This window comes from Homo sapiens, chromosome 2 (genome assembly GCF_000001405.40).
Source record: "Homo sapiens chromosome 2, GRCh38.p14 Primary Assembly".
In the NCBI taxonomy this organism is placed as follows: domain Eukaryota; kingdom Metazoa; phylum Chordata; class Mammalia; order Primates; family Hominidae; genus Homo; species Homo sapiens.
Genome location: NC_000002.12, coordinates 73,920,670 through 73,934,866, shown reverse-complemented (window position 1 = coordinate 73,934,866; position 14,197 = coordinate 73,920,670). Strand labels below are relative to the sequence as shown.

The window sequence follows — 14,197 nt, the reverse complement described above, 5'->3', positions numbered from 1 at the left end:
TCCTGAGTTCAAGCGATCCACCTGCCTTGGTCTCCCAAAGTGTTGGGATTACAGGCGTGAGCCACTGCGCCGGGCCACTGCTGTTATCTTTCTTTCCTTTTTTTTTTTTTTTGAGACAGAGTCTTGCTCTATTGCCCAGGCTGGAGTGCAGTGGGGTGATCTCGGCTCACTGCAACTTCCAACTCCCGGGTTCAACTGATTCTCCAGCCTCTCAGCCTCCCGAGTAACTGGGACTATAAGCACGTGCCACCACACCTGACTAATTTTTGTATTTTTAGTAGAGACAGGGTTTCGCCATGTTGGCCAGGCTGGTCTTGAACTCCTGACCTCAGGTGATCTGCCCGCCTCAGCCTCCCAAAGTGCTGGGATGACAGGGGTTAGCCACATCGCCCGGCCTGTCTTTCAATATACTCTCAGTATTATGAATTTTGGAAGGTATCAGAACTTACAAGCAGCATCAAACCTTCCCTTAGGACCCTGGCCACCAGTGTTCTCTGTTGTTATATTGCCACAACCTTAAAAAAAGGTGGAAGGTACTTTCTTAAGAGTATATTACTTCAACATGTTGATTTTCATTAGCTCCACTATTCTCATTCCACAAGCTGGGACAAAGAGTTCTGTTGTTACCACTCATCTTTTTCTAAGGCATGTTTTTTTCTCCCCACAAAATTTTCTATAAACTGACAATGCCTACCATAGCTATGTAATGCTAAAATCTAGCAGCAAGATAGCATATGATGTAATACCCAAAATAACAGATCCCATTATTTTACGTCTAATACAGCTGTATTTCATAGGAGCCTATATTTATCACCTCTAGGCATTTTCATCTCCTGAACAAGATGAAAAACATGAGAAAAAAAATCCAATTCTGAAATCTTTTACCAAAATCCAACAAAGTCAGAACATATAAAACTGTCTAATGTCTTTTTTAAAAAGTCCTTCCAAAAAAAATTGAAGTCTTTATTTCAGATACTGTATTTGATGCTGCATTCATTCACTCACTCATTCAATCAACAAATGTTTATGGAGTAGCTACTCAGAGGTAAGTACTATAACTGAAATGATGATCTAGGCTGAGAGCTTGCCCTCAAGTTATATTCCAACCCCAAGACTGAGTACCCAGGATCATACAGGCTCCAAGCTTAAAGGCATTCTAGGCAAAGTTAATAAAAATCAGTCAGCAGGCTTAAAAAAAACTTAATACATTTTACTTTGATGACCTTTTTTCATGAAAAACTGTTTACGAAAAAAAAAAGGCAAAAAATTTTCTCACACCTTCCTATGATCCAAACTCATCTGCTCAGCACAAAAGACCCTCACTGATCTGACATCCCCTCCTCCCGCCTTGCCTACCAGGTGATTCAGCTTTCCACTGCCACCTTCTCTGTGAAGCCTCCTTGAACTCTCTCCAGCGCCACTTCATCTCTAGGCAGAGTTAATTACTGCCTGCTCTGGTTTACCAAAGGATTACGCTGTAATTATTTGTTCACTCATCACTCCCTCCAGCTAGACTGGGAGCTCACTTTTGAAGACAGAGACTGAACCTTTGCATCCTGAGTATGAGAACAGTGATGGAGGGAAGGAGGTGAGTCACAGGCACAGAGAATCCACTATACAGTATTTGAAATAAATAGGCTATTTTTTCCCAAGGATTCTTTGCCCAATCATTTATACTTAAAATAAGTAAGACACATATTAGTGATGTGAAGTCACTAATTTTGAATGCTGGAGGAAACATGTTATTAGGGAAGCCCTCTACTGCTTTATGTTTAAGTTTCTTGATTGAAAAGTGCAAAAGAGTTTCCTCTTTTCTGGTTGGGTCTTTGAAAATAAGGTAAAAATGCTGAGATGACTCACTGACAGTGAGATTTCATACAGCAATCTTTTCTTCAATTTACGCTTGTAATCGTAAGATAATCACAAGAAGATGATAATACACTGTAGGGATGAACAGTCTTAAAAGACAGGCTAGGTGTTTTATTTTTTAGATTTTCAGGGGTTCTAGGTACCAAGCTTTTGACTTTCAATCACACATCTTATATGGCTTCGTAAGTCATGCTAGATGCCATTAGTTGCTACTTCACTGATCAATTTTCCTTACATGCCGCTGTCTGCACCTTCAGGATCAGAATAATAGGACTTAGAGCAGAAGGAATACAAGAAAAGCCCTCTAAACATACCCAATTTTGGTCAGGACAGGGGTTCACCTTCCCTGTTCAGGTTTCCTGAATGGGTGCTCTCATTCTGATTTGCTTGAGGATGTTACCTGTGATTAGAGAAGATGATCACTCTTGATTTAAAAAGCAGTTTAATACATTCCCTGTGTGGGTACCAATGCCTAACTTCCACATGGATATCATAGCACAGGATTCAAGAATCTGGTCAGTACTGAGTACACTGGGTCAAGGCGGGGGTTAGGTGTCAGCAATACAAAGATGAACAGCACACTGAGTGGTCAGAGCCCAAGGAAGGTGGTGAATGTGCAAACAAGCTCAGCAGAACTCAAGTGCTGCAGCAGTTGTGGGTACAAAATGTTATGTCAGCCCACAGAGGAGGCAGTGACTAATTCTGTCTAGGGAGAGTCATCAGGGTGTGTGGGGTGATGAAGAGTAGTGGGAGATGAAAGTAAAAAGAGTCAGATTAGGTCCTCCCATTCCACTTCGCATCACCCTTTTCTTGGGCAATTGCATTTACTTCCAAGGCTTCACCAACTACCCCTCTACCCACCAGTCAACAACTTCCACATCTGAAATCTCAGCACCCATCTCCGGACTCTCTTGACCTCAGGCACATATTCCAATCTGTCTCAGAACACCTCTATGTCTCACAGGCACCTCATACAAAACATATCACTCTAACCTCCCCAGACCGCCTCTTCCTTTATTCCCATCCTCATGAACCTCAGTGTCACCCTCCTCTACTCCTCCTCCTACCTCACCTCCAAGTGGCCACCACATCCTGTCAATCCCGCTTCCAAAATCTCTCTGAAACCGTCACTTCTCTGTCATTTCAGTTCTTCTATTCAGGCCTGCATCTTTCCTCCCTCCAATTACTCCAATAGCCACAAAACTAGTGCACAGACTCAACTCTGTTCCAATTCATCTATTCATTCATCCAACAAACTGGATGCAAGGCACTATGGGTACTGCAGCAAACAAAATATACAAAGAAAGTGCCTGTTTTATGGAGCTTTCTTTCTCATCCTACACAATTTCCTTTTTTAAATTAATCTGGTCATGGCACACACTGGCTTCAAGTGTTCAACAGCCTCCCACTGCCAACAGGATAAACTAGCATGGTCCACAAGGCTCTTCGACATATGGCAAATCCCACCCTTCCAACCTCTTGTTCTGCCACCCTTTCACAGGTCCCTTCAACTCCAGGCACATCCAACTACTTCTCTTTCATTAAAACTGCATGTGTTAGCTAGGCGTGGTGGCACATGCCTGTAGTCTCAGCTACTTGGGAGGCTGAGACAGGAGAATCACTTGAACCTGGGAAGCGGAGGTTGCAGTGAGATGAGATCACACCACTGCACTCCAGCCTGGGTGACAGAATGAGACTCCATCAAAAAAACAAACAAACAAACAAAAAAACCCCCAAAAAACTGCATGTGTTTCTTCAGGCTTCACCACCTTGGCACATGTTGCTTTCTATGGCTGAAACACTTTTCCCTCTTCTTCCTCTTGGGAATTCCTACCCCAGAGATTCTGGCTTTCCATGCCCAATCACAAATCTCACCACACAGTATGAAAATTATGTCGAGTCGGCCAGGCACGGTGGCTAACGCCTATAATCCCAGCACTTTGGGAGGCCGAAGCTGGCGGATCACGAGGTCAGGAGATTGAGACCATCCTGGCTAACATGGTGAAACCCCGTCTCTACTAAAAAATACAAGAAATTAGCTGGGCATGGTGGCGGGCGCCTGTAGTCCCAGCTACTTGGGAGCCTGAGGCAGGAGAATGGCGTGAACCTGGGAGGCGGAGGCTGCAGTGAGCCAAGATCACACCACTGCACTGCAGCCTGGGTGCCAGAGCAAGACTCTGTCTCAAAAAAAAAAAAAAAAAAAGAAAAAAAAAAAGAAAATTATGTCGAATCTGTTTTCTCCTACTTAGTTGTGAGTTGTGAGCTCCTTGAAGGACAGGAGCTGTATCCCATTCACTGCTGTGCTCAGCATGAGAGTGGACTCTTAGTCCTCACTCAGTAAGCCTCTGTTGCACAAGAAAGCAAGGAAGAAGCAGAGAAATTTGACAAGGTTAAGAAGCAAAAGTCAGGAAAATAGAGGGAGTTCAAACCTTATCTGATGACCTGTCCTAAGTACTTACTTTGTGACATACCCTGTTCTCTCTCTGGGATTTGAGGACAGAGCTTCCTTTAGGGGTGTGTTTCTCAAAGTACAGTACAAAACATCATATTTAAATAATAACATCATCAGGCAAATAGCAGGACTCTCCCTTCCCATTCCTTTCAATGTTTCGGATTTGGCTGGAGAAAAACACACAGCCATGGTGACTGGTCTCACTTTAAATTCATGACCACTAACTCCAAGTGGGTCCTAAATGGTACCCAGTAATTCAACATTTCTCTTGCTTATTCACTAGAGTATTTCATGTCTTCTGTCTCTACATTCACTCTTAGCTGATGACCTTTCTTCCTACTTCACTCTGAAAACAGACACAACCAAAAGACCTTCCCAAGTTCCCACCACACCCTCTGAAGTTGGTGCTCATATATTTTGCCATCACGCCTGTTACTAGGGATGAATTGTGCTCCTAGCTAAGACTAAATTATTTCCCACTGGGCAATAGATTCCATTCTTTCTTGCTTAAAAATCACTCCAGCAATTCTATCCTCTGTCCCGATTTACCAATTTTCCTCCTTTCCACTAGACCACTTCTGTCAACTTAAAAACATGCTCTAATTCTTTTCACAAAAAGAAAATTAAAAATGTTAAACACTCACACCCTCTTCTAATTTCAGCTACCACCCCATGACTTCCCTTTCTAAAAACTTCCAGTTATCTTAACCCACTCTCCTCACCTCCCATTCTCCTTGAACCTATACCAATTAGGCTTTCACTCCTAACACTCCTAAAACTGTTCTTTTCAAGTTCACCAAAGACCTTCATTTACTTAAACAGTATAACACAGCTGATCATTCCCTCCCACTGAATACCTTCTTCACTTGGCTTCCAGGATATCATTCTCTTTTGTTTTTTTCTCCTACCTCAGTAGGCATTCCTTCTCAGTCTCTGCTTATTCCTTCCCATCTCCCCAGTTTCATAATATTTGCATGCTCAGGGCTCAGTCCTTTCCATCAACACATAGTCTCTGGCATTAAATACCACCTACATTTACAGCTCCAGTCCGGGGAGACCCTAATTCTGAACTTACATATCCAATTACCTATTCAACACCTCTACTTGGATATTAATAGGCATGTAAAAACCTAACATGCTTAAAACCAAGGCTCACTTCTGTAATCCCAGCACTTTGGGAAGCCAAGGCAGGAGGATCAATTGAGCCCAGGAGATCAAGACCAGCCTGGAAAATATAGTGAGACCCTGTCTCTACAAAAAATATACAAAATTAGCCACGCATAGTGGCAAACACCTGTGGATCCAGCTACTCAAGAGGCTAAGGTGGGAGGATGGCTTGAGCCTGGGAGGCAGGCTGCAGTGAGATGCAATTGCATCACTGTATTCTAGCCTGGCAACAGGGCAAGACCACACCAAAGGAGGGGAAGCGAGGGGAGGGGAGGAAGAAGGAGAGGAGGAAATAAAAGAAAATCAGGAGTCTATCTTTCAAGTACTCAAGTCAAAATAATTGGAGTCATCATTGGCCCCTCTCTTTACCTTACACTCTGCATTCAACCTGTCACCAAATCCAATTGGCCCTATCTTAAAATATAACTAGAACCCAATCATTTCTCACCACTTCCACTGTTAAATTTTACTTAAAATGTAACTCAATTTTTGTTAACGTATAACTAGAATCCAATCACGTCTCACCACTTTCACTTTTCACAATACTATAATTATTGCAATACCACTTAACACTCTTCACTTTCAATGTTATCAGCCACAGTGATCTTTTTATAATCTAAGTAAAACTGTCACTTGACTCCTCAAACCTTCCAATGGCTACCCATCTCGGTAAGATTAAAAACCCATGATAAGGCCTATAAAATCTGGCCACCCCTTGGGCTTTTGCCCTAATTTCCCTCCCATCCTTGCTCACTCGACTTCAGTCACAACGATTTCCCTCCTATTCCCCGAACACACTTTCCACCTCAGGGCCTTTCCAATTGCTCTTCACTCTGCCTAGAAGATTCTTCTCCCAGGTATCCACGTGATTTGCTCCCTCATCTTCAGTTTTTTGCTCAGATGTCACCTTCTCAGTGAGGCCTTGCTTATTTTATTTAAAATGACAACTTCGGCCAGGTGCAGTGGCTAACGCCTATAATCCCAGCACTTTGGGAGGCCGAGGCAGGCGGATCACCTGAGGTTAGGAGTTTGAGACCAGCCTGGCCAACATGGTGAAACCCTGTCTCTACTAACAAAACAAAAATTAACTGGGTGTGGTGGCGGGTGCCCCTAATCCCAGCTATTCGGGAGGCTGAGGCAGGAGAATCGCTTGAACCAGGGAGGCAGAGGTTGCAGTGAGTCGAGATCGTGTCATTGCACTCCAGCCTGGGTAACAAGAGCAAAACTCCATCTCAAATAAAATAAAATAAAAACTTCCCTCAATTCTTCATCCCTAATTTTTCTCCATCATACTTATTACTCTCTAACATATTGTTCACCTTGCTTAATTTATGTTGTTTATTGTCCATCTCTCCCTACTTGAGTTCCATGAGAGCAGAGATTTTTATTTGTTCTATTCACAGCTGTATTCTCCAGGCCAAGAACAGTGCTGGCATATGGAAGTGGCTCAAAAGGTGATTTGTTGAATGAATAAAAAAAGAAATTCTCAGTTTGCTGCTACGTCTTCAGTACTCAACACTTGCTAAGCCCCTTTTAGGGGCTCAGTGACTTGGTAGATAAAAGTATCAAGTCAGAATTTATTAATATTAAATCGAAATGCTTTGCCTTCATTTTGCTTTCTGACTACTTTTTATTCAAGATACTGGATCTCACTCTTTTAACAAAATAATTTTTAATTTAATACATGTTTTTAAGTTTAAAAAGTGAGGTTCTTCTAAGAAAAGCCTTAAGAAATTATTATGCAACTAGCACAGGCACAGGGCAAAAATTGTGAATGTGGTATTTGAACGACTGAAATTTAGGAACTCTCTTCGAATAGGGTTGCCAGATAAAATACAGGACACAGTTAAATTTGAACTTTCAATGAGTGATTTCGTTGTTGTTTTGCTGTAAGGATGTCCCAAATATTGCATTGGACACACACTAAAAATTATTCGTTATCTTAAATTCTATTTTAACTGGATATTATTTTTAATTTCTGCTAAATATGGCAACCCTATCTAGGAGAACAAATAAACTGCACCCGCTTGTCGCTTCAATTTCGATCTATTACAAACAGCTAATACAATTCTTGTCCTATCCACTAACTGCGTGGCTTTTATGCCCCAACAAATATGTTCCTGTGGGCGGGTACTGAGGCCCGATATCCTAAAAACAAGGAGGCAAAGATACACAGTGCACTTTGCGAGGGGAAAGGCTCTCCTCGCAGCCCAGAAAAAGAGGCCGGCCGCATCAGACGCAGGCCATTCCGGGCCCAGCTCCTTTCCCAGCCTCTGTCGCCTGCGTGGCGGAGGCCAAGGCTTGGCAGCCGCTTTCCGGCCCTTACCAATGTTGCCTTCGATGGAGAGCCTTCGGGGCCCGCGCCCCGCGTGCAGGCCTCTGGAGGAGGAAACGCCCTCGAGTGGGCTCTTGGCCATGGAACTGAAGGGTGCTCGAAGCCGACTTAGAAAGAGGCGGCCCGCGGCCATCCCACCCACGATTCACACAGCGATCACTTCCGCCGAGAGCACTTCCGCCCTAGGTATCGCTGCTCACTCGCTCCAGCGCACCGTTGACGTAAGGAGATCGTCAGACAGGAAGTGGGTGGGGTTGAACATGCGGCGGGGTGCGCCCAAGAGACCGCTCCGCTATCGCGATGTTTGTAAAGAAGCGTTGAGTGAAGGAAGTTTTGCAACGGTGCAGAATTTGATAGTAAAAGGAGTTGCGGTGCGAGTGGTTTTTGTTCATTGGACAAATAACATTTTAAAAGACGTAATTCCACAATCCAACCACTTCATTTTTGTATAACTTTAAAATAAATTTTATAACTGAAGACAAAATTAAAAATAGAAATTGTAATTTTAAGAGGGGATTTCCCCCCCCCCAGGTGCTTGTTGTCTGGTTTTTATTTTAATATCGGAAGAAAATGGAAGTTTTAAAGTAGGAAAATGACTCAATCTGATGATTTACACAAATTTAACTTTTTCCTATTCCCTGTAATTCCCCTGCACAATGCTGGCATATTATTGACTAAATTAACAAATTAGATAATCAGTTACACCCCATCTCTTAGTTTGTGTCTTGAATAAGTAAATAAATGTTCGGTCAATCGATTTGCATTATACCCAAAAATCCCTTCAGGATAAGGTGGTGGTGGCTCAGGTATGTGACTGGAAATTGTTTAAACCTGGTAGGCTGGGTTCTTGGACGTAAGCAATGGCGAGTAGAGACTTGTATAAAACCTGAGTCCTGCTGTCGGTGAAGTGTGCTCTGCAGGAGGGCAGGGACCTAAGCTGCTGCCACAGGTGAAGCCGGACTGCCACACCCCGTCGTCATAACAACCTCAGAAGTAATGATTTACAAAATGTTGTCAAATGGTGCTTCCAGTTCCAATCGCTTAAATCACCAACAGTCAAAACCAGGAGTCAACAGGCCAAACCGGCCTTCAGGCAGCGCTCTTAGGTGTGGCAGGTTTTAGAAGACAAGGATCTGATTGCAAGGGGGCTGGGGAGGGGCCGGGGGCTGGGATACCTGTCTTGAAGCTGTTCCCATAAAAAGCACGGGACCTTTTTCTTATGTTGATGTATATATAGGATGGCTGAGGTCATGTTTATATATTAAGAACTTTTTTTTTAATCGAATTTTTTAAGGATAACCAGGGTGGGGCGTTAATGGCTACTGGAGCGGCTAAAGTCCTACCCATTCCCATCTCCACTCCAGCAGCCACTTCTGTTAAAACAAAACAAAACAAAACAAAACAAAACAAAAAACAAAAAAAAAACTGCTTACATTTCTTTACCTATGTAAACTCAGACTTGGAAAATATTCATCCAAAAAAGCTTGAGAGGCTCTCTGCCTCGCCAGGATCTTGCTGCCTCAGGGGTGTTGTGAAAGTTAAATGAGGAAGTTGTCTGCAGGCAGGCATTAATCTCCTAAAAGCTACGAGGCAGGAAAATAGGGTCTGGAGACAGGGAACCTAAGGCCGATTTAGGCTGACTTCCTAGAACTAAATCAAAAGGAAAACCCCAACTTTCTAGCCCAAGTAACAAAAGGACCAGAAGCTAATCCCTCTTCTGGGTGGCAGATAAAAAATTGAAAGTACCTCTGACTGGTCCCCGCGGGCAATCAGTCAGGCTGGTGGCAGGCCAAGTCTTTAGTTGCATGGGGTATAACTTCATAACTTTACTTCAGCCTCTGATTGGTCCCCTCCTGCAACCAATCAGACTGATCGCTGGCCACTACTTCATTTACATAGGGTGTACACCAGGTAACCAATGGGAAACCTCTAGAAGGTATTTAAACCCCAGAAAATTCTGTAATTGCTGCTTGCTTGGGCCCTTCCTACCGCAAGGAGTGTTCTTTGATGTACAATAAATCTGTGCTTTTGTTGCTTCATTGTTTCCTTGCTTTGTACGTTTTGTCCAATTCTTTGTTCAAAATGTCAAGAACCTGGGCACCCTCCACCAGTAACAGAGCTCCTAAAAATTATTTTTAAAAATTTTATGGTGAAGTGGCCTGGCGCGGTGGCTCACGCCTGTAATCCCAGCACTTTGGGAGGCTGACGAGGGCGGATCACGAGGTCAGGAGATCAAGACCATCCTGGCTAACATGGTGAAACCCTGTCTCTACTAAAGAGAGAGAAAAAAAAAAAAGCGGAGTGTGGTGGTGGGCTCCTGTAGTCCCAGCTACTCAGGAGGCTGAGGCAGGAGAATGGCCTGAACCGGGGAGGCGGAGCTTGCAGTGAGCCGAGATCGCGCCACTGTGCTCCAGCCTGGGCGACAGAGCGAGACTCCGTCTCAAAAAAAAAAAAAAAAAAAAATTATGGTAAAGCATAGTATGTAGTGAGGAAAAGAGGATGTGTTGTGCAGTGAGGAAAAGAGGATGTGTTGTAAGTGTACAGTTCAATGAAGTTTTCACAAATGGAATGACTGTTACCTGGATTCAGATCAAGAAACAGCATTATCCGCATCTCCAGAATCCCCCATATTCGTTGCCAGTTACTATCCCTCAAAGATAACCATTAGCCTGACTTCAACAGTAGAGATTAGTTTTGCGTTTTCTTTATATAAATGGAATTATATAGTAAATACTTCTTTTATTTAACATATCTGTGAGATTCATCCAGGTTGAATGTATTAGTTGTAGTTCACTCATTCTCATTGCTGTATAGTATTCCACAATGTCACTATACCACAATGTACTCGGAAGTTTCTAGATTTGAGCCATAATGAATAGTGTTGCGGTAAATATTCTTGTACATGTCTTTTGGTAAAAAGAAGTATGCATTTCTCTTGGGTGTATAAGTAAGACTGGAACTGCTGTGTAATAAGTTACATATATATGCTCAGCTTTGATAGATATTCCCAAATAGTAGATAGTTCCACAGTGTTTGTTCTAGTTGACATTGCCATCATCAGTGAGAGAGAGTTCTGGTTTTCCCACATTCTTACCAACAGTTGATATTGTCAGCTTTTTAAATTTTATCCATTTTGCTGTGTGTAATTATAACTTATTGTGGTTTTAATTTGCATTTTCCTGCTGATTAATGAAGTCAAACATCTTTTTGTATGTTTATTGGTCATTTCAGTATCCTCTGTTGAAGTCTTATGTCCATTTTTCTATTGGTTGTCTTTTGCTTGTCTTATTCTTCAAATATTCTGGATGAGTCCTTTGTGAATATTTTATCTCTGTGGTTTGCTTCTTTTCTTTTCTTTTCTTTTCTTTTCTTTTCTTTTCTTTTCTTTTCTTTTCTTTTCTTGTGTTGAGACAGAGTCTCTTGCCCAGGCTGGAGTGCAGTGGGGCAATCTTGGCTCACTGCAACCTCCATCTCCTAGATTCAAGCGATTCTCATGCTTCAGCCTCCCAAGTAGCTGGGATTACAGGCATGTGCCATGCCCGACTAATTTTTTGTATTTTTAGTAGAGACGGGGTTTTGCTATGTTGGCCTGGCTGCTCTTGAGCTCCTGGCCTCAAGTTATCCACCCACCTCTGCCTCCCAAAGTGCTGGGATTACAGGTATGAGCCACAGCACCCAGCCTCTAAAAACATTCAAAATTTTTTTGATGTAGAGTGTAATGTAAGAAACTAAAATATCTTTTGCCTAAGTTGCCTGTCAGTTATCTTAATTCATTAGTAATAATCTTTCTACCCCCCTTTAGTTATCTATGCTTGTTTTGTTAAATGTTTTTTATTTATTTAGGTCCCAATTCCAAATTCCCAGAAGGGAGAATCTGATTGGCCCAGCTGTGTTCAGGTATCTAATCATGGTTCAATCAGCTGTGGCCAAGGAAGAGGGTTGGGGCCCCACTTTTGCACATGAGGAAGTACAATTAAGGGGATCTTCATGAGGAAAGAAGACACCCCAAAGAGGTGGTGATCATTTCCTCTTCGAAGCAGTAAACACGGAGTTTTCATCCCATTTGGGTGCTAGCCAGAAGACTGAAAGTAGTGGCATATTGGTGAGTAGAATTACCTCCCCCTTACCTGGGAGAACGAGGCCACTTCCTGCCCCTGGGCGATTTTGTCCTGGGCAAAATGTTGTCCTGCAAGAACTCTAGTCATTCAGCATCCATTCATTCATCCAATATTTGCTGAGCATCTACTGCATGCCAGACACTCTGCTTAGTCCTTGAAGTGCAGCTCTGAAGGATTTACTATTTTTCCAGTGTTTCTAAATGCTACCGTATACATAAAATACTGACCAATATTATTTAAAATGTCATGCAGCCATTAAAAAAGGGAGATAAACATACAAAAATGTGGCCCAAACTTTATTCTGCAGCCTGGACTTTTAGCCAGCTATATCTCACCTACTTTGAAGATTTTATAATGTGCTGGATTGTGCTAAATCGATTTGGTTAAATTGGAAAGTACACTTCCAGAACGCCCTACCAACAAGGCTCTGAGTTAGAGTTGGCCAAAAGAGGACCTGGGGTGAGATTTGGAAGGCAGAGTGGGAGTGTCAGCCATTCCTCTGTGGAAATCTTCTAGTCAGATGCTATGACAGACAGAGGTGCCCAGCAGATAGGTTTCACCTAGTCCTCCACCCATTTGTGACTCCTCTTGGAGTATCCCACAGTTCCTTGCAGACTTTCACTTTTCCAGCTCCTTCAGTCTTTGGGGAAAGTGTCATTCCTGTAATAAAGCCCTTATTCCCATAATACCCATAATGGCTCTGCTCCCCTGAATGAACTGTATTGATACACCTAATCATAAAGGGAGACGTATCAAAAGGTGGTTAACAGTGTGGGCTCTGGATTCCAGTGACCTGGGGGTGAGGATTAAGAGAGAGAATCCACCTGCCACACCTGCCACACAGTTACCACCCAATAGACATTATATAACACATAATAAGTAATGGCTGCCTTCTTAGGCCCTCAGTGCCTGGGACATTGTTTCTCTCTCTCTCTCTCTGATAGGGTCTCGCTTGTCAGAGGCTGGTTTGAATTAGGCTCAAAGGATCTTCCCACCCCAGCGTCCCAAGTAGCTGGGATTACTGGTGTGAACCATCACACCTGACTTTTGTCGATCTTTAATAGACTTCCAGTTGGATTTCCACTTTCCTCAAGCCACTGTCCCTCTCTCTGTCAGTGGATAACTCCATATCCATTGAAGAATCTAGGTCAGCATTTTTTAAACTTGAAATAGAGTAAGACTGGAGTAGGGGTGGAAGGATGGGGAAGGGAGGTCAGATGGGTGCGGGGGGTTTGTGGGAACAGTCTGGGCAGCCTGCCCTTCTCCATGTGGAGGTCCGGATGCCCCTCTATAGCGCAGTGTCGGTGCCCTACATCTCAGATCGCTCCCGCCTCCTCCTGTGCCTTCTCTTCCAGCAACCAGAGCCTGCAGCTCTTCTTTGGAGGAGGCCTTTGCCGATACAGGTGGAAAGCCTAGGACTTCAGTCCTCCCAGGGAGCGCCCTCACCAACCACTGGCAGGTGGGACTGTGAAAGCCTGGCTCCCTGTCCTTCACCAGGCTAACCTTAGACTCCAGAGCTCCCAGTGGGCGGGGCCAGGCTGAAGCTGCCCTCTCCAGGACATTATCTGCAATTACCCCCTTGACAGATTTCCTCCCCTTTCCTCTTCTGCGCCCCCCTCCCCCGCACTCTGCTTACCAGCTGTCCTCAGAGCACTTCTTTAATAAGTCGTTTGCAGGGAATCCTCATTTCAGGGTCTGCTTCTGGTCCTCACACAGAAATCCCCTAAGGGCTTATGAAAGCCGCTCCTCCATCCCACCCCACCCACAGAGATCAAGTGCTGGGAGGGTGAAAGGAATGTCTGGCATTGAAGTGTCTGCGCTTAACCACTGGACTCCACTGTCTCCAAATGGGTATGTCTGGGAAGCTTCATGGACCAGGTGGGATCTGATGGGGGCACGAAGGCTGGGACTTTGCTAGGTGGGGAGGTGAAAGGTGCACCAGCCCAATGTGAGGATCTAGTTCTAAGGTGAACTAGCTGGGTGACCTAGTAACCAGTAAACTAGCTATAAAATGGGAAATGATGCTAGTACCTGCCTCATAGGGTTGTGGTGAGGATTAATTGAGGAAATCCATGCAAAACTCTTAACCTGGCCTGAATACATGTTAGCTATTATTATCATCCCTTATTTTCTCATAGTACTTTTAGGCGCTTGTTTCACTTCGTGTCACTGTCTTGTATGCATGTGTCTATCTCTGCCTGTATGCAGTGAGACCCTAATGGGCAGGAATCATCTTTGTTGGAAACATAAATCCCT

The 14,197-nt window shown here is 43.6% G+C and overlaps 1 protein-coding gene across 16 annotated transcripts in view, besides 1 other annotated feature; it reads right to left on the bottom strand.

Moving 5' to 3' along the window:
* The window catches only part of DGUOK (deoxyguanosine kinase), a 32,067-nt gene extending 24,080 nt beyond the window's left edge, over positions 1-7,987 (bottom strand). For 13 of the 16 annotated variants that reach the window (NR_134894.2, NR_134898.2, NR_134893.2 and 10 more), the window contains exon 1: positions 7,815-7,987. Coding sequence is in view for 6 of the 16 variants with exons in the window: in NM_080916.3 (NP_550438.1) it covers positions 7,815-7,956 (142 nt within the window). In the remaining 10 variants the exon portion in view is untranslated. Of the gene's footprint in view, positions 1-2,183; positions 2,270-7,814 lie in introns of all 16 variants that reach the window. The other 3 variants (NR_134897.2, NM_001318861.2, NM_001318862.2) reach the window with 1 other exon arrangement.
* Positions 7,686-7,955: an enhancer, noted in NCBI's record as "active region_16036". NCBI's record gives its function as "activates an Ori minimal core promoter by ATAC-STARR-seq in GM12878 lymphoblastoid cells {active_cell/tissue: GM12878}" and the evidence as "EXISTENCE:reporter gene assay evidence [ECO:0000049][PMID:35858748]".